The sequence below is a fragment of the Homo sapiens genome, chromosome 7, assembly GCF_000001405.40.
Source record: "Homo sapiens chromosome 7, GRCh38.p14 Primary Assembly".
Lineage (NCBI taxonomy): Eukaryota > Metazoa > Chordata > Mammalia > Primates > Hominidae > Homo > Homo sapiens.
This window is the reverse complement of record NC_000007.14, coordinates 155,531,624-155,551,446: the sequence shown is the minus strand read 5'-3', so window position 1 is coordinate 155,551,446 and position 19,823 is coordinate 155,531,624. Positions and strand designations below refer to the sequence as shown.

The window sequence follows — 19,823 nt, the reverse complement described above, 5'->3', positions numbered from 1 at the left end:
GTGTCTCTCCTCTTCTAGAAGGTCCCGTCGGTGGATCAAGGCCCTCCCTACTCCAGTATGACTTGGTCTGAATCAATCCCATCTGCAAAGACCCTATTCCCAAATAAGGCCACATTCACAGGTACTAGGGGTTGGGATGTCAGCTTATCTTTTTGGGGGACAGAAGCAGCCAACAGGGCAAGTAAGGAGAGGAGGAAGGAAGGAAGCAAGGAAGCTACTTTTGGGTGTGGTGAAGCTGAGACTGGATTCCAAAGCCCCTCTCCTTCCCGCACCTGCCTGAGCCACGGGCACAGCGGCGGGCCTGGTCGATGCTGTGAGTCCATCATGGGCCCTGATATCCTGTGGGCAGTGGGAGATGCTCCTGAGTTAGCCAGGCCTGGGGCGCCCAGGAGGCCGTGCACAGCAACATCCAGCTCACCCCGGCCTCTGCACAGGCGCAGCTCGTCATTGGGTTTCAGCCTCTTCTCATGGCCTCCTCGTAGCACAGAGTGGGGCCCGCCACACTTTGGGATGTCTAGAGACCAGGCTTAAAGAAAGACTGTGGCATCAGCCATTTCCACTTTGGGGAGCAGGAGTGTTGGTTGGGGGGAGCCACCCCTCCGTCACGTTTGCCTTGCTGGCCTCCTGCAGCCTTGGGAGTCGGGGCTTCATCTTCCCTCAAAGGAGTGTGGGGGGCACAGCCATGCAGGAGATGCAATGTGAGTGGTGGGAGTTGCATGGGCACTAATCACTACCATCGTAATACCAGGGCTCCTGCCTTGCTTATAGAAACTGCTAGAAAATGGTTTGTTCTAGAATTGAGCCATGTTCTCTGAGGTACCAGAGAAAGTGGCCCCTGCACCCCTCTTTACTGGTCAGCAGCACCTGCTCCGGAGAGGTGCAGGGTGCAGGAGAGCTGCCACTAGCCAGTGCACCTTGGGACAGGTAGGGCCCCCATTGCAGAGCACAATGACCTCCTGCATGTCAAAGACATTTGCAGATCTCAGGCCCAACCCAGACCCGACTCAGAGTCTCCCAGGCTGGGACCTGGGTCTGTACTTCTAGCAACTCCCCACGTGGTTCTGATGTCACCTCTGCTTGTGGCCTAAAGGCCACTGGAGGAAAATCCACATTGCCTGCAGCTTTGGATGGCTTGGTTCCCATAGCCGCTCCTGCTGGTGGGGAGAGTGGCCCAGACACCCCTGGAGGAATGGAGGCACGGCATCCACCACATGCGAGCTCCTTGGAGGGCACGGGCTGGGACTCAGACCTCGGTGGCTTCCTTGGGCCTTGCTCATAACCTTGAAAATGGCAAATGCTCAGATATTCATTGATCCCTTCACCTCTAGGGAGATGCAGCCTCCTGTGGGCATGTGCAGAGTGTGGGCAGGAGGGTTGTGGTGGCGGGGCCCTGATTTGTAGCATCTGCCTATGCCTGTTGTGTAAATACTCCCACCCCTGTTGATCCGGGCTACCTGTGTGATGTCACTAGCTGTGGAGTTGGGAAGCAGCACACATGCCATCTGCTCTTGCAAGCCCCTTGAGATGGTTCCGGCACCTGAGCCACCGGAGGCTCATCTGAATCTGTCGTGACATCTACCTCCATCTCTTTCCCATTTCCAAATCTTCCTCTAAGAGAGAAAGGGAGGGAGAGGGAAGGAGACAGCCATAGTGGCAGGGGCTGGTAGGCCCAGCGGGAGGGGGCTTGCCCTCTGGCAGGCAGTGTGACCCACCAATCCCCCCATGAGGCCCCACTCCCGCCGCCTGCTCTAATAAACTCTAAACTCCTGTGATTTAAGTGAAGGTTTCAGATTAACATTTAAATTAATGCCGGACTAGAAATCTGGAGCCCAGGTCGCTGATGTGACTGTTAACTTGTTCTGTGACCTGGGGCGGAAATTTAAAATGATCTTTTCTTGTGGAGCGGCCCCTCCGAGGGGAGGTCAGGGATGGCAGGCCTGGGGGCCTCCTGTCCTGTTGGAAGCCCAGCACCTTTCCTTGCTGACGGGGCCACCCTGACCTCAAGAAGCCCTGCATGGCCACGGGGGGCGGGGTGCTGTGCCCTGGTCCTGCTACTGCCATCCCGATGCTCAGGGCATTTGGGGATGCTCGATGACAGGTGTGCACTACAAGGGGCTCTGCCTTTTCACGGCCTATCTTGGTGCTTGTGAAATGTGGGCCTGAAATGAAGGCAGCAGAACATTAAAATATTGACCCAGAGAGCCCTGTGAGCTGAGCCCACTCACCGGCCCCTTTCCACTTCTGCCGGCAAGTCCAGCCTTGAGGGATCCAGGGAGCCAAGGACACCCACAGTGACCACAGCACAGGGAGCGTCCGGGCTCAGGGTGGGGCGGCTGGGCAGGAGTCTGGGCACGGGTCTGCAGGCACAGAAAGCAGAGAGATGCCGAGGAGAGACGGGGTCCCAAGCTAGTCACTGAGCCCAAGTCAGGGATTCCAAGCAGTCAGTGGGGCCAGGAAGGGGACAGCAGGCAGGCCACGCCTGGCAGGCACTTACAGACTCATGCAACACCCTCCCTACGATGGGAGAGACTCTGGGTAGAGCCGGGTGACGCTCATCCATGGCCCAGCAGGGTTTGACGCTGGCACTTGACGGCAAGGCCACATTCTTTCTGTTGGCCAGCACTGTCCTCTGCCAGCCAGGAGGTGAGGACGCACCATCTCCAGCTCCTGGGTCCACCAGGAAGGGCTGGAGGAGGCTGTCAGGGCAGAGGCCACCTGGGCCCCTGGAGATGCTGGGCTGGGCCCACCCCGGTTCTCGGGGAACCTTCACACCCGGCTGGCGGCCATCCTCTCGGGCTATGCATTTCTCCTCTGAAGTTGGCCTGGAGGCCAGAGGCCACCCCTCCTTTGTGCTGATTGCTTTGGCCTCTGCTTCCAAGACACCATTTCCCACCATCTGCCCTCTCTCAGGAGCCAGGGTAAAGGACATCAGACAATCCCATCCCTCTTCCTCCTAATCTCGTGTGGGAGCTGGGCTCCTGCTGTCCTCAGGGGTCCCAGGCGGCCCCATTCTCAGCAGTAACATGGTCACCGCCGGCTCTTCCTAGAGGACTCCTCATCTGAGCCTACTGGGCTGTTCACCACCTGTGGGCCCGGGATTCTGGGCCCACGCTCCCCTGGCAGCCCTGGCCCTGCGCTGACCGAGATCCCCCACTGGGGAGCACTGACCATGGAGGGTCCTTTCTTATTCCATCCCAGAGGTGGAAGGTGAGTGAGTGTAGTGAACTCAAAATAGCAATGGCTTAGACAATCTGGATGCTTGTCTCCCTCTCGTAAGGGTGGAGGGTGCTGTCCCGGTCAGCACAGAGTTCTCCCCTTGCAGGCCCCAGGACCCGCCTTTGAGTTCCTCACCCTGACATCTCCCAGGCCACCCTGGTCCTGGGGCCTGAGCTGAGCTCCGACCTATAGTGGGTCAGAGAGGGCAGAGGGCGAGCACTGGCTCTTTAGGAAGATTCCAGAACACATGGTTGTAGAACCAAGTTACAGGCCCTGGCCTAGCTTCAAGGGAGCCAGAAAGGAAGTGTTTGTTCTTGGAGCTGTAAGTCCTGCTCCTAGAGAAGAGGGGCTTGCCTGTGGTCAGTAGCTTTGAGCCCCTGTGCACTGCGTCAAGTCCAAACAGTAAGTGCTGATGTGGACACCCGAGACACAGGTTTTCATGCCTCTGCCATGAAAACTTCCTTCTCCTCCTGGAAGCCTCAGAGAGACAGGCTACTCTGTCAGAGACCTCCAGGCCCCAGAGGAGCCCAGTACATCGTTAGATGTACTGCTCACTAACAGGTAATCATAGTGATCAATGATCTCATACATGGATTGAAGGTCACTGACCCCTAAGAGCAGGGTAGGGAGGGAGCGCGGGCTGTGTGCCTCTGAGGACTGAGTGCCATCTGTGTCCTCAAACAGTGGCTCGGCTGCTGATTTCTGTAGTACCTTGGGTAAGGGAGACACCTGGGAAAGTCTCTCCATCTCTCCAAGCCACGTCCGTGAAATGGGGATAGTGCTGGAATCACCACCACAGGGTCCTGGAGTCCACAAGGGCACGACACGTGGAATGCAACACCCAGCAACACCTAAAGGCAGTGAACATGCTGGTGTTCCAGCTTCACGCCCACAACTGGCCTTTGTCCTCATCCACACAGCCTGTGCCCTCAGTGCCCGCATTCGGACACAGGATGAGAAGGGAGCACTAAACGCAATGTCACCTGTGCCAAAGTCATGTCCTGGGCAGAGAAAGGCTATGCTGTTCTAACAGGGACCAAAACACAGACAGAGGGAGAGTGACTCAGATGGAAGCTTTGGGTCTCGTTTCACAGCCAGGGGAGCGGTCCACATGGGCAGGCGGCCTCTGCTCCGTGGCCATTCAGGACACTGACATCGCTGTCTCTTTTCTCCCACATCCCTTTGGGCTGGTCCTGACATGCTGACTTCCAACCACAGAGAGGAAAGCCAGAATCAGTTTTCAGTTCAGCAAATGAGGCCGATATTGGAGGCATCACCTCATTTATCTTTTATTTGTGAGAGTTCAGACCCTAAGGCACAGCTCAGCCGCCTCCACTGGGCAGCCACAGCCTGGGGAGAAGGGATTTTAGGGGACAAAACCAGCTACATTTCCCATAAAAATAAATTTCAGAGAGTCCCCTTTGACTTCAAATCCAGCAAAAATGTATCTTTTGGAGGAGGGCCCAGTTTTGACCCACTTTTCCCACAGTGCAGAAGCTACTTGGGAGTAATTATGACAACCCAGAGGGGCTTCCAGAGTCCTGTGGACTCAGAGGATGAGCATCTGCAGTGTTTCAGGAAAGCACCTGTAGTCCCAGTGACTCAGGAGCCTGAGGCAGGAGAATTGTTTGAACCTGAGAGGCGGAGGTTGCAGTGAGCTGAGATTGCACCACTGCACTCCAGCCTGGGTGACAGAGCAAGACTCTGTCTCAAAAAATAAATAAATGAATAAATAGGAAAGCACATTTGAAGGCTGCACATGGTGGCTGATACTTGTAATCCCAGCAATTCAGGAGGCCAAGGTAGGAGGATGGCTTGAGTTCAAGACCTACCTGGGCAACATAGTGAGACCCCCCGTCTCTTAAAAAAAAAAAAAAATTAGCCGGGTGTGGCGACGTATGCCTGTAGTCCAAGCTACTCGGAGGTGGAAATGGGAGGATGGTTTGAGTGTGGAAGGTTGAGGCTGCAGTGAGCTGAGATAGTGCCACTGCACTCCAGCCTGGGCAACAGAGTGAGACCCTGTCTCAAAAAAAAAAAAGCACATTTTAAATGTAAAAGTAAATTGTATATGGTTTTGAAAACACAAAGTACAAAAGGGAACATAAAAAAAGTCGTCTCTGTCTCACTGTCTTTGAAAACTCTGCAGAGGACAAGAGTCCTCCCCAGGTCCTGGGCACGTCGGCACTGTCCCTGTTCTAGCTAGAGGGTGGCACAGAGGAAGCCACTCCACAGGCCCGGCTCTGGCTCGCCTCCTCCTCTGATCACAGCTGTTTTGTGTCTTGTTTAGCGTGCAGGGCGCTGATGGACGAGATAGAGCACGACATCACCAAGGCTCGGCAGAAGAAGACCAAGGTGGGATCCTTCCGAATCAATCCCGATGGGACTCAGGAGAGGAGAAAGGTAGTGGAAAAGATATTATGTGCCAGTGTATAATTGCGGATATGGGCAATTACCAACCATTTATCCAAACAGCAGTTGGTCTTAATCTTCTAACCTTTCTCTTGTTCAGGGTATCAGCTCTAAATTGCTTCTGAGTCCTGGGGGACCCAAAGTAATCTTTAAGCTTGAAATTGAAGTATCTCTCTCAGCACCTAAATTTTGTGTCTCGTCAAGTCGAAAGACATTTCGGCACTGTTCTTCATCAGAATAAAAATAGCGCGTCTGTGGTTCTTGGTGAGGCCAGCAGGGGGCCCAGAAGAGGCTAAAGGGGCGGCCTAGAGACACTCAAAGCAGAATAGTCCTCTCCTGGGTACCACACTCCCTCCCCCACTGCAAGATGTGCAGATTTCTAGTTGGGGGTGCAGGTTGTAAGACGCACTTTCTGGAATAGACCGGACAGTTGGCTATGGAGAAGGAAGAAACGTTCTTGCACAACCTAGAGAGGGGCTCCCCCTGAGGATCAGAGGCAGTGAGTGGGGCGCTGGAAGGGTGGAGTCTAAGACACCAGGCGGGACCCATTAGGGGACACCTTCCCCTCTGAGCCCTCAGGTACTAGGTGCCCAGAACACATAAGCCAATTTCAGCATCATTCTAAGAGAAATATTATTAGAAAGGTGTTCCCCAATATCATCCAACTCACTCAAAGCTAAACAGAAGTGGGTCTGGATTTCTTGCAGCTTTCTTTTGTTGTGATGCACTGCACCTGTCTTAAATAATGCAAACTAGGCTGTCTGTGTGGGGTCCGTGTCTTCCTGGAGCTGTGTGCCCATCCGAAGAGGACAGGGCAGGAAAGGAGAGTCACAGACAGGTGCCGTGGTTGAACTGTGGGGCTGTGACAGGCAGCCCTTACAGAAAGTACCTCAGGCTTCTAATGCGCCTCAGTTATGAATGAGGGAGGAATTTCCATCCACAGGTCAGTACCTCCCACAGGAGAGGGCTGGGCTCTCAGGGGTCCCTTTTGGGTTCGTTGCCTCCCCAAAGGCACACTCAAGGATGGATCCTTCAAGAGCCGTGTCTGGCAAGTCCACCGGAGGGACCCCGTGCAGGCCCACTGGCTGCTCTGCTGCAGGTCTGACGCCTGCACCCCGGAATCTCAAGGTCCTTTGTGGTCACCTGAATGCAGGACATGTGCCTCCATAAAATCCAGTACAGTCCTGGTCCCTGACACCAGCCGGGAGCTGATTCCCACTGTCAAGCAGGGCCAGGGAAGATGTGAGTGCCTGTCTGTGTGTGCATTGTGTCCACATGTGTAATGTGGGGGTGTGTGCCAGCCAGCATAGCTTTGAAGATAAGCTGAGTCTTAATATTTTGATAACTTCAATCTGGGCTATCAGACACATCATTAGTGCTCCTGGGCCAGCAGAAAGGAAGTCTTTCTCTACAGGCCCAACAAAGGGGAGCCAAGGAAATGACCGCAGAGCCCTGAGGAAGGGGCTGGAAGGGGAGGAGCCGGGTGGCCCTTCTTTATTGACAGCTGCTGGGCGACAGCCTTTAAGTGATTTTCTAGTCCTGACAATGACCCTGCAGAAAGAATAGCATCTCTGCATTACTGATGAGAGCGGGGGGAGTCAGGCCAAGTGGCCGCAGCTCCCACAGCGGATGGAGGGCCGTGCAGGGACTGGGATGGCAGCACCTTGTACCTTCCACCCTCCTCAAATTCACACTGCATCCTTGAGTGATGCGACCCAGGAGTCCACGTTTGGGGGTCCTGAGCCTTTCCAGTGTGTCTAATCCCAGAATGGAATTAAGTTTGCCTGGAGAAAATGGGCCACACCCTCCCCTGCTTTCTGTTGTCTTGGAGGATGTTCCACTTCAAGGCGATCAAGTTGAAATAGCTTTTCCGATTTTGCCAGGAACACTTAGTCTGCAAAGCAACTGAAAGCAGCTAGACGGCTACATTCACCAGTGTGCCTAAGGCAATCTTAGAGTCGCAGCTACAAGGAGCTGGTGCTGATCTCAGGTGATCTTTCTGCCCAGGGCTCCTGCTCAGCCAGAAGTAGCCCAGGCCAGCATCACACGGAGACTTCTCTCTGCAAACATGGTGCACCCTGTAGGCGCGCGGGTGGGTTCCTCGTGTTGGAGAACTCGTCTTTAAAGCCCTTGTGTTGGAGAACAGCATGGCCTGGCGGTGGGTGTGTGGCTCAGCAGTTCCTGCTTCTGGCTAACTCACAGCAGAGTGACCCCCTCACGTCCCAGCACTCTCATGCTTCAAAGAGCTCCACTGTCTTCCCCTGGAAACTTCTAGAAGGTCTCTCATCCTTCCCACTTAGAAAACTCTTCCTTGCTGTGATTCACATTCCTGTGGCATTGTTTTCTTCCGTCAGCAGGCTACTTGGCCAAATTCGGAAGTAGGGGATCTGGCAGTGTGAAGTCAGCTCTGCCCTTGCTCTGCTTGGACTTGGATGGGGGCCAGGCTGGTGTTACTGCGGGGGCTACTCTCCTCCTTCCACCCAGCAGCTCACAGAGCACGTGCTCAGCTTGGCCTTCAGTGAAGAACAAAAGAAGGCACACAGCTGCCAAATGAGAGGGGTCTCGGGCCCCCATTGTCCTGCCTGGAGGAGTCTTGAAGCCAGAGGTGTTCCCAGCCCGGCCCGGCTGGCCACAGAGCGGCAGGACCCCTTGCCTGCTTTTTTCTCCTTTCTGGACCTCAGTCAGGCTGGAAAGAAACACAGGCCGTGTCTTCAGAGCTGAGGGTGCTGATGCCACAGGGTCCTTGGAGAGGCTGTTCCTCTGTGGGAGGGGTGAGGCGGGTTCCCCCGAGAATCCGAGTTCCTAAGGGGAGCCACGGGAAGAAGCAAAGCGAGTGAGTGGCCTCTCGGCACTGTGCGGACCCAGTGTGTGCAAAGCGGCCTGTGTCCATACCGGGCTATTCTCTCCGTCTAGCCTCGGGCGGGGGTGGGTCTGGGAGGGCAGTGTGGACAGGGGAGATGTGCAAACCAGCTTCTCTCAGGCCAGGCCTCCCTTGCTTAGAAGAAGAGTCAAAGGAGGCCCCCAGAGAGCAGCCAGTGAAAGGGCTGTGGCCGCAGGCGGGCCTCTGCCCGCACTGGCTCAGTCCCTGGTGTGGATGTGGGGCTGGGACAGACACAGAGGAGGGCCAGGTGCCCACGACAGCCTGCATGTCCTCTCAGCAGCGGGAGGGTCTTGGGGTCCGGCTGCACCACAGGAGCCCCGGGATATGTGGGGACCCCGCTTTTTTTTCTACTCTGCATACTTTGCCACTAGCAGCATTGTGGCTCAGACAGAAATCCCCCAGCCCCAGGGGTGTGCAGTGGCTCTTTCCACGTGAGGCCCAGCAGTGAGGCCCCAGCATCAGTCAGGAAGCTTGGGTGAGCCCCGAAGGGCAAGCAGAGGTCTCCATGAAGAGCCTTTCCATGCCCACACCCAGGACCTTCCTTCCTTGGCTCCCTACGCCCGCCCATGAGCAAGGGGTGCTCTGACCATGGTTGGGGGGTCACTCCTTGGAGCCTGGTGACTCCCAGACCCGTAGGTCCGGGGAGCAGCTGGCAGGACCAAGCAGGACTTGCTTTCCCTGGGGCTCCCCTGACTCCCCTGCCCAGCTCCGCCTTCCCTGCCTGCCTGACTCCCCTGCCCAGCTCCGCCTTCCCTGCCTGACAGCACTCAGCCTGGCAGGGAGGGAATCAGCTCTCAGGCCCTACAGCAGGGGTTGTGAATACTCCACATCGAGCGTCCCACTGCACGTGTTCTGCACCGGCTTCTAGGATTTTCCCAGCAGACTTCTGCCCCCCCGACCCTGCCCCTGTCATGGCAGCCGGCTTGCAAACACAGCGTTCATTGGCTGCCTTCCAGTAGAACTTCCCCTCCACTCTAGTGTTTCCAGAACCTTCCAGGTAAACAGCCCTGGGAGAATCCCAGCAAAGACAGTACTAAAAGGCCCCTTCAAGCAAAGCATCCCCTCTATAGGGCTGCCGTGGTTTCTGAGTACCAGGGCTGCTTACCCACCTTTGAGTGATGGTTATAGAGGCTGGTGCGAGGCTGGAAGACTTCCCTTCCTGGGAAGGACCTCAGGGTGTGTGGCTCCATCCACACTGTCCTCCTGGCCAGCCAGGCAGCAAGACCCTCGAGGAAGGGTGCTCCAGCTTCCCTTGAGTTAGAGCAAGACCCATGGACAGTCGCCCCACACTCAGCAGACTGCGGGGGCTCTGGGGAGCCTCCAAGCCAGGCCCGGTTGGCCTCCCTCCTCATCATCTGAGGCTGACCTGCCAAGCAGGCTAGAAGGGAGGAAGGTGTGGGTCATGTGGTGTGGGGAATGATTAGAAAATAAGGCTCATTATTGTAATCAACATCATTCTCAAGCTAGCTCAGAAGTCTTCAATGTTATCAACTTTATGGGACAGCCTGTAGAAGCAGAGAGGATGGAAGGGGCAGCTGTTTAGTAATACACGATGTACAGGGACCTCAGCTCCCGGGGACTGACTGCCTTGCTCTGTTGGAAACATTCTCCCTAGCCAAGGATTTTAGTGCCATTCTCCTTGAGAAATGAAATTCACGTGCCACGTCTTGCTCGATGTTCATGATAGGCTGGGAGCTCGTGCTCCGCTCGCGGAGGTCTCTGTCTTCAGAACAGCGGGAACGGGGAGGCTCAGCGGGGGAGCACTCACTAAAGTCCAGAGTTCAGAGAGCTGCCTCCTTGGCCTGGGGCTGTTGGGGACAGGTGGGAGACCACCCCTGCTGCCACCGTAGGTGGGATGTCTTCACTCGGTAGCTCCTCACACTGGCACAAAGCCTCGTCTGTTCAGCAAAATGCAGCCAGCATCTCAGCACTGCGGTTATTTCCCTATTATTTATTTATTTTTTAAACAAATTGGATTAATGGCACCTTTCCTAAAACAGGGCAACACAGCACAAGACAATTTGGAGGCAGTTACTTCACATTTGCTTACCTGTCTCCTCTCCCAGTGATGAAAGGCTGGCCTCCCGAATGAGGGTACGCATGCACTGCTGCTCTCAGCGGGGCACCCAGGGTCAGGGAGCTGGAGTCGAGGGGCTCACATTTGCTTTTAGATTTTGAACCTCCGAGCTCCAGTCACTGGATACAGGATGACCAGGGCAAGCCGTGTGTTACCCACAGGGACCCAGGAAACGTGTGTTCACCGAGGGAATTGTAAATGATGAAGCAGAGCTCAGGGGCGTCCTCTGCCTCGGCTGAGTGTGAGAGCAAGGCCTCGCTCTCTGCGAAACTTGGAAAGTTCAAACAGAAAGCACCAACAGCAACAGTGAGGACGAGGCCAATATCCGGTTTGCACCAACACCTCATGCTTCTTTAAGCTTTAAAACACAACTCTGGGAGGTAAACTGGGCCACTGTAATTAGCTTCATTTTAGAAATGCAGATGAGGCCCAGAAAGCTTTAGTGACTCACTTAATTTTGACAAATTAGTATTAATTTAATTTGCTGATAAGTTAATTTAGAAAAATTCCAATACCATTTGCTAGCGCTAAGATGAGGAGAACGAGACCCCAGTGCACGGTGCTTTGGCAAAGCCGAGCACTTGAATTAAAGGACATTGGAAGTCCTTCGAAGCTGTCTCAGAATTCTGGACTTTCTAACCTTGTTTCCTCCTCCAGCCCCCAAGTGCAGAGAGCCTCTCCCTGGAATTTCCTTATCCGACTTAGGAAACTTCTTTCCAAAAGAAATACAATTGTCTTAAGATCTCTTCCCGAGGAATCTGATCAAATAACCAGGAAAGATTTAGCCACCAGAGGAGAGAAAAGCCTAAAGGTCACCCCCACCCCCAGACTTTTCATCTGTTCTTCTGAGGGCAGCTCAAAGTGATGACCCTGGAGGCTTTGTCACATAAGAAGAAAATCTGTGTTCACGGTGCAGTTCTACCCCTCACCTTCCCATAACTTGCTGGTCCTATTCAGTTTCCTAAGAGAATCGTTGACAAGATAATGTCTGCCTCCTGCGTCCATTCCTTTCTCCTAAGAATCACTGACTCTCCCCTAAAATGGCCCACGGGCCCCCACTTCCCTCTCCTCCATGAAAAGGGTATTTAAGTCTCAACCATCTTGCCCTTGTTGGAGTCTCATATTTCATATGGCTCCCATGCTAACACACATGAATGTTTGTCTGCTTTTTTCCCCCCGTTAATCTGTTTTTCAGTCATTTCAGCAAGCCTTCACAGGGAGCAGAAGGGAAGCTTTCCCTCTGCTCCCACACTATTGACAGAGCTACCCCATCCCATTATGTACTATGAAACAACAGGGCACTATAACATCCTGGAGCTGTGCAGTGTGCAACCTGCACAACTGTACATGGACAAAATGAGAGGGCTGGCTATTCTATCAGGCCAGCCAGGAGGTGCAGGGGGATTCAGTCCATCAGCAATTTTCCTACTCGCTAGAGGGCCATGAAATCCGTGTAGTGGCATACAAGAATGTAGAAATATATATTAAATATCAGAGTACATCTTATAGAAAAGGAAAGTATGTTTTGTGACACTTTATATAATGGGTTTTGGTGTAAGAAGTGGGTCATGTCCAAAAAATTGGAAGCCACTATAGCAGATGGCTGTCCTCAGCATGATACGGTAGCCTAAAGATATTTGATTTAGGAAGATTATTAATACCCAAACAATGCCACAACAATTCCTGACTCCTTCTGCAGAAAGAAAATCAGAACATCTCCTCTGAATCCTCATATTACAGCAGTGACAGCTTTGGCTTAGCGGCCTACGCTTTCTATGGACCAAGGGACCGCAGCTGGGCAGGGTGGGGTGGGGAGCGACAAAGAAAGGGGCCCGAAGCTGGCTCCTGGCCCCTGGTGGCAGCAGCCTTGGGGCTCAGATTCCTGCTGATGTGCCCTGGCACTGGTCTCCTTTGGATCAGCATTCCGGGTCTACATGTGGTGTGGACTAGGGGAGGAATTCTTCCCCCATAGGAGCTCACACTCTGACCCAGAGACCTCAGCAGCCGCCAGTGTGAACGCCACGTCTCAGAGAGTGAAGGGTGAGTTGAGTGGGGTGGGCAGGAGGTGAATAGGAGGGGGCGCGAGTCAGCCCATGGCGGTGCTCAGAGCAGAAAAGTGAACAGCTTTGCATGGGGTCTCTTTTTTAACAAGGAGGACATTTGTCCAGGATCTCCCACCCCCAGCCCCCAGAACTCCCCCTCATATCTCATGGGTCAGGAGGGCCTCTAACGCCTGTGGCTAGACCAACTGCGGGGCAAGTGGGGCATTCGCAGACGTCCCTCAGATCAATCCAGACCCAAGCTCAGGGCCTTGTGGGGGCGTGGCCTGTCCTGGGCACGTGAGGAGGGGCAGAGTCTGGGGTTAGCAGGAGGGGGGTGGGAGGGCTCTTTGGTGGATGGTCCCCAGATCTGCCACAGTTCAGGGTCACACGCGGGTGAAGGCGGAGAGCCCAGGAGACAGTGAGACCAGCCTGCAGGGTCCCCAGTGTCTGAAAATGAGGTTGGTGGCAACAGTCCCTAGTACTTACTTGCATTTTCTTGCAAGCACAAGAGGAAGGGATGGTGTGCAGATGGACTGCAGGGCTGGAGGCCACACTTAGCAACCAGGAGTTTCAGGGATCACCCCTAAATTGTTTTGCAAGGGCTGTTGGCCCATGGATGCCACCTTAATAAGAAAATTACTTCAGCAACAATTGAGAAAGATGATGGTGCAAGAAAATGATGTTCACAGGAACCTGTAAATTGCCATGTGAAAAAATCCGAAGGGTATTTTCCTATTATTAAGTGCAAAAAAGAGGTTATTAACCCGCACATACAGATGCCCTCTTACGTGTCTGTGTCTGTTCACTGCAGGAGGGAGCCTCAGGAAATACACTGAGACAATAGTCACAGTTCTTGTATCTGCGTATTACTGCTGAGCTCCTTTCTTTCTTTTTTTGTTTATCTGTTAAAATTTTTTCTATAATAAACATATTACTTGTTAAATTTAAAACATAAAGTTTTGAAGGTTTTTTTTTAGAAATCAAAAGAATTCCATGATAATGTAGAAATTCCTATTCTAAAAAGTAGCATTGTTCTTAAGAAGATGGAACACTATACACAGACACGTGATTTTGTTTCGTATAAAATATTCAACAGAGGCTGGACGCAGTGACTCATGCTTGTAATCCCGGCACTTTGGGAGGCCAAGACGGGTGGATCACCTGAGGTCAGGAGTTTGAGACCAGCCTGGGCAACACGGTGAAACCCCATCTCTACTAAAAATACAAAAAATTAGCGGGGTGTGATGGCACATTCCTGTAGCCCCAGCTACTCAGGAGGCTGAGGCAGGAGAATCACTTGAATCCAGGAGGCGGAGGTTGCAGTGAGCTGAGATCGCACCATTGCACCCCAGCCTGGACGACAAAAGCGAAACTCCGTCTCAAAAAAAAAAAAAAAAGAAAAGAAAAAAAATTCCACAGAAAGCTGTGATGTGGCCCTTCCTTGAATTGTCCAGCTTCATTCCTGGTGGTGTCACTGGCCCTGGAGCAGCCTCAGGAACCGATGCAATCCTCTATTTTTGCTCCATGCATGTGTCCTTTGGTGCTTTAAGAGTCCTCGGAAGGAGAGGCTGGAAGGGAGGTAGCTTCCCCCTTTATCTCTGCTGCTACTCTCTCTTCTTTCCATAACTCTCATTGGCCAAGGACCTGCTCTTCTGAGACACGTGGGTCTCATCTCTCAACCATCTAGAGGACATGAGAAGATGTTAGCATGCGGAGTAATAAATAGCCCCGGCTCCTTTACTTACAGTCCTCATGTTCCTTTCCTCTCAAAGAAGAGCAAGAAGCATCAACAGATGGATGCTCTGGTCCTTACATCCCTAGGACTGGGGGTTGTATACATTTTTAATTTATTTGGTGGCTTTTATTGTGTACCATCTTCTATTTTATTTCTCTTTTATCTTATTTAAAAAGAGAAACACCATCACTCATTTTTATTTAAATTGCTGGCATGATTCTTTACTGATGGTGTTTGTCAGAATAGTTTAAGTATCATACACTGCCTGGTGTCAGTGTGGATCACCACGAGCGTTGAGAGTTGACTTCTTGCTCATGTCGTAGTCTAGTGTGGGTTGGCACGGGGCTCTGCTCCACTTGGTCATTCAGGGACCCAGGCCCTTCTGTCTTGTGGCTCCTCCTCCTCCAAGCCCGAGTCCTGTTCATCCAGCAGGTGGATGGGGAGAGAGAGCATGGAGGATTCTGTGGGAAATGTTTACAGGCAGGGCTAACAGGGAGGGGCCTTGCTTCTGCCTACGTTCCACGGCTGGGACTCCAGCACATGTCCTCACCTAGTTGGAAGAAGGGCTGGAAACAGTCGAGCTGTGTGTCCAGGAGGAGGAAGAAGTGGAGTGTGGTGACCATATAGCAGGTCACTGGTCACTGGAGAGAAGCCTGGTAGCATGGGACAAAGAAAGGCACCTCAGTATGGCCCTGGATGCATTTGGTGACCTGAGAAGTTTCCTGAAACCTATGACTATAGGTCTCAAGCACAGAGCGGCCCGTAGGCTTTCTAACCTCCCAGTACTGCAGAAATAACCAGCCCCGCCCAGGACCTGTCTGCTGCAGTGGGTGATCAGTCATCCACAGCCTCCCCTTCCCTGGGGACTTCACTCCAGGTAACCACAGGTAATGCTGCAAGTCCCTGTTTCACCACTGCATGCCATGGATTTACAGCATCCCATTTCAAATGGCACCTGGATCCCCACTGCCTCTGACCCCGCCAGGTGAGGACAGCCCAGCCCAGAATATCATCCCGGAGGGTTTACTACCTACAGCCAAACCTTGCACCAAATAAAATACTTGCCAGCCTCCAGTTGCAAATCTCAGAAACACTTGAGCTCTTTTAAATGGAAAGGAATTTACCTGCCTCTTCATACCACAATACCCTCCCCATACCTGATTCCCATGAGAAGATGTTGTAGTCTTCTCCAGAAAATCCTGATGATAGCAGACGATGCTTACCAGAGAACAGCAGAATCGGTGAGAAGTCTGGCTCTCCGTCCACCGCCTTCCAAATCACAGATGAATGCATCCAATGACACGACCCTGATCCCATAGAACCCTCCAGCTGCAAATGAGTCTTGGAAGTGTAGGGCTTTGCTTTCCAGCCTCTGCAGCCCCGTGGAAGGTAGGATGGGCCCTGAGTGTCACCTCCCTATTTGAAGCCTTCTAGGATTAAATCAGGCCTCGTGTGTAGGCAAGGAAGGGAGAAGGGGTTTTGGGGAGGCAGTTGGTTGGACCTGTCTCATGATATGTGCTCTGTTCATTCCCGGCTTCCTTCATGTCCTTTGGTAAAGCTTTTCTGTCTTACTCCTGTGGATTCTGTACATTTCTTGAGTGTATCCTTATGCCTTGTGTGTGTTCGGCTGCCATTGTGCCTGAGTGTGTGCACCTGTAAGCTCTTGGCTTCTCCCATCTCTGGATCATGATTCATCTGCAGTTGAAATGCTCCCTTCCTCCTCTCCCAAGTGTTCAAACTGAGAAGGCTCTCCCCTGAAGCTTCTGCTGTTGGTCCGGCACAGCTCACCTTCCTGGAGGCAGGGCACATAGGAACAGCTGGCATTAATACTCCATGATGATTGAAGCCCTGGCACCAATGCTGGGTCCATCCCACAAGTGCTTGCATACTGACCAGGCAAAGGCAGGAGCCCCACAAATGTTGGATTTGGCATTAGGGAATTGGGGATGCAGGAGTGTTTTGCCACTTGTTTGTTTTTGAGCGGAGCCTTCTCCGTGCCCTTTGCAATGTGCTGTGCATCCAGCTGCCTTTTCTGCTGAACACAGCCCTGCTCTCACATCAGCCAGGTCACCGCTGGGCTGTCTCAACCTCCCTTTCCCCAAGCTGGGGTCCTGTGCCCACCAGAGCCAGAGAACCGCCGACCTCCTCAGTCACATCCTCCCAGGAAGATAGGTGATGCCCTCCAGCATCTCTTGTCCACAGACACCGAGCAGAGGCTGAGCTCTGACTCCCCAGCCTGGTCTTTCCTGCTCAGGAGCCGCCCAGCGCCCGCTCCCTCAGTGCCCAGAAAGCCCTGTGCTTTGCATGTTAGTTGTGGCCTGACTGTGGCCTTCACCGGAGGCCGGAGTCCCATTACGTTCCAGTCTCCACGCCAGCCCCTTGCTGCTGTGGGGGCAGTAGGGGAGGTTCAGGACCCAATTCTATGAATTGCCCGGACCTGCCACCAGGGCTGCCTCGCTCAGTGCAGTGGGCCATCCCGCGACGCTGTGAGTGGAGCAGGCTGAGACCTCAGCCCCTGCAGCTGATCCGCCTTCCCGGTCAGTCCCACATGCTAAGGCCTGACGTCATCAGGCCAGGGTGGAAACTCACACCTGGGGGAAGAGGAGCAAGTGTTCGCATCGAGTGTGTGTGTGTCTGTGTGTGCACATGCAAGTGCACATGTGCATTTGTCTGTGCACGTGTGTACACGTGCATGTGTGTCTATGCATGCGTGTGTGTGCCTGTGTGCACGTGTGTGCATGTGTGCCTCTGTGCACGTGTGTGTGCATGTGTGTGTGTGCATGCACGTGTGAGTGTGTGTGTGTGAGCTCAAAGTCACCTATCTCAGAGCAGAGACAGGGAAGGCGTGGAGCAGCTGCGTGGGCTGGCAGCCTATCTGGGCACCAGAGGAGGCATCTGAGGCCATCAGGAGACTGTGCCTGGGTCAGGGGAAAGGAAAGGCGGCTTTTCCTGCTTACCTGTTTTGGGGCCCCTAACCCGCTGCAGTGCACATACAGGGCAGGCATGTCAGTGTCCTAGGGGGACGCAGTGCTCTTCCCGGCGGGGCCAGCAGGGGGACCTTTCCCCCCGGGCTTCCAGTCCTCCGGCCGCCACCTCAACAAGGGGTTAACACCCCCTCCCCCTCCCAAACCTCAGGGATTAAAAATTTATGCTGTCCCCAGGGGATGTGGGGAGGAGGAGGGGATGTGGGGGACACAAAATTAAAAGGGAAAGAGATTATTTTTAATCCTCTTGGTGGGTGCTGAAACAATGCCGGGAGAGCAAAGCCGCTGAGAGTTTGTCCCGTTAGATCCAGGCGTGAAGGACGGACTGTACTACAGGGAGCAGGTAATTACAAACTGCACATCTTTCTCCTCTCCGTAAGAAATTCGCCTTAATCCCATAGCTATTGCTTCTCCGGTCAAAGGTGCTCAGATTTTCATAACGCCCGGCGCTGTGGACGAGTGGAATTCACATTTGATACCCGCTTTTCCCCTCGGGGGTTTCACGCCGGACCGGGACGGAGCGAAGCGACGGGCCCTGCTGGTGCTGCGGGGCTTCCCGCGCGCTGGGTGGCGGAGCTGGCCCCGCTCTGCGCGGGCCGGAGCGTGCACCTCGCTGTCATTCTGAGGCGCGCCCTGCACCCGCGGCGAGGTGGCTGTGCAGGCCTCACCTGGGCATATGCTTAGAGTAAACAAACGTTAACTTTGCGTGGAGAGCCACCGGGAATGAGGCACAAGCTCGTTTTGTTTCCCCTCCCTCTTTGACGAACGGGCATGTTCCGAGCCGGCACATCCGAGCAGACTCACTTATCTGCCAGGTGACAATGTCAGACCCCGAACGAGAGGTGCCTGGCTCTTTCCTCCCTCCAGCCGTTCCCGTCGGGCGCGGAGTGGGTTTTGAGGGTGAGCGAGGCCGCGCCGTTTGGGAGGCGCTGTTTCTGCGGCTGCCTGTGTGGTGTGAGCCACGCAGATGTTGTCACTGTACGGCGTATGCTTGGTTACTCTAACTGCAATAGAAGATCCTCTAGCGATGTGCAGAGCTTGCACCTGTTAGAAGGACGTTGAGTGGGTATCGATTTGGGATTCTTTTGGTTGTTAATAGCGGTAAAGGAGAAATGAGCACGTTTTGTTTTCTGACTGTAGACTCAGACGGGTGGTGTGTGAGGGCATGAATTTTCCTGACTGATGAGATGAACTTTATCCGTCATGGTTCCCAGGGACTCCCAACACGCATAGCCAGGAGACGGCGAGGCACAAGCACACAAGTTCGGTCTGTGTGTTGCAGACCGAACTCCATGAGCGAGGCAGTTTTTCCATTGTAATAATATGGGAAGATATTGTAGAGGTATTATGGGATTTTAAAATTCAAATTCTTTTCAGTTGGATTTGATTGAAAAAAAAAATTCTCAGCAACCTATTTTAGGAGGAGGTGGTAGGAACCATAAAATATAGCAGTGGATCATCTGGGGTCCTCCCTCTATTTTTGAGACGGAGTCTCGCACTCTCGCCCAGGCTGGAGTGCAGTGGCGCGATCTCGGCTCACTGCAAGCTCCGCCTCCCGGGTTCACGCCATTCTCCTGCCTCAGCCTCCCGAGTAGCTGGGACTACAGGCGCCCACCACCGTGCCCGGCTAATTTTTTGTATTTTTAGTAGAGACGGGTTTCACCATGTTAGCCGAGATGGTCTTGATCTCCTGACCTTGTGATCCGCCCGCCTCGGCCTCCCAAAGTGCTGGGAGTACAAGCGTGAGCCACGGCCCCGGGCCCATCTGGGGTCCTCCTTCTAAAGAGCTGGAGAAGGCTGTTTAAGAACAGTTGGGAAAGGCAGTGACCTACAGGAAGACACAGAGCCTGCAGGGACACACAGAGACACAGCTCTCTTCTGTGAGCAGAACCCACGAAGCTAGCTTTGTCATCAATCAGCTATAAAACCAATCACGCTGAATTTTCAGAACCAATATTTCCTCTCTAAATGTTAGTATCATTTTAACTTATGAAGTATCCTCCTAGACATTGATCTCTGCAAAATCTTATGTATTAGTTTGAGCAGATGCTGACGCATATCTTGCTTTATTTGCTCAAGCTGTCAGTCTGGAATCCAGGTTGATCCGGTTCTCACACTTTAACCTGATCCACGCAGGGGGAGTGACAGTGCGCACAGTGAGGGCCACTCATCTTGCTCGGGGCTTCTTGCTGTTGCTTCCGGGCTGACAGTGGCCAGAGGCTCAGGGCTTAGGTGGCTCTGGGGAACTGGTGAAGCAAAACGAGCCTTTTCTCCACTTCTGAGGCACCGCCCTGGAGCTCTGCCCAGGCTCTCTCTTAGGCCGGCACCCATTGGGCCTGACATTCTTGCTGGGATTCCCTGTTTGCTGTCTGCCTGGTGTGATTGTGTGAAGCTGAATGCAGAGAAAGCTCCCAAAGGGTCAACAGGGCTGCTCTTAGGAAACAGAAGTACAAATAAGGAATTATCCCCTCTCTGAACG

At 53.5% G+C, this 19,823-nt stretch overlaps 1 protein-coding gene across 5 annotated transcripts in view, besides 2 other annotated features; it reads left to right on the top strand.

Moving 5' to 3' along the window:
- Positions 2,772-3,273: an enhancer, noted in NCBI's record as "H3K4me1 hESC enhancer chr7:155340869-155341370 (GRCh37/hg19 assembly coordinates)". NCBI's record gives its function as "activates a minimal SCP1, AML or CMV promoter by ChIP-STARR-seq in primed H9 embryonic stem cells {active_cell/tissue: H9 hESC(primed)}" and the evidence as "EXISTENCE:reporter gene assay evidence [ECO:0000049][PMID:30033119]".
- Positions 4,888-19,823, top strand: part of CNPY1 (canopy FGF signaling regulator 1) — a 45,431-nt gene continuing 30,495 nt past the window's right edge. For 4 of the 5 annotated variants that reach the window (NR_163158.1, NR_163157.1, NM_001369814.1 and 1 more), the window contains exon 1: positions 17,585-17,687. Coding sequence is in view for 1 of the 5 variants with exons in the window: in NM_001393663.1 (NP_001380592.1) it covers positions 5,518-5,616 (99 nt within the window). In the remaining 4 variants the exon portion in view is untranslated. Of the gene's footprint in view, positions 5,019-5,503; positions 5,617-17,584; positions 17,688-19,823 lie in introns of those variants that run through there. The other variant, NM_001393663.1, reaches the window with a different exon arrangement.
- Positions 8,560-9,360: an enhancer, noted in NCBI's record as "H3K4me1 hESC enhancer chr7:155334782-155335582 (GRCh37/hg19 assembly coordinates)". NCBI's record gives its function as "activates a minimal SCP1, AML or CMV promoter by ChIP-STARR-seq in naive H9 embryonic stem cells {active_cell/tissue: H9 hESC(naive)}" and the evidence as "EXISTENCE:reporter gene assay evidence [ECO:0000049][PMID:30033119]".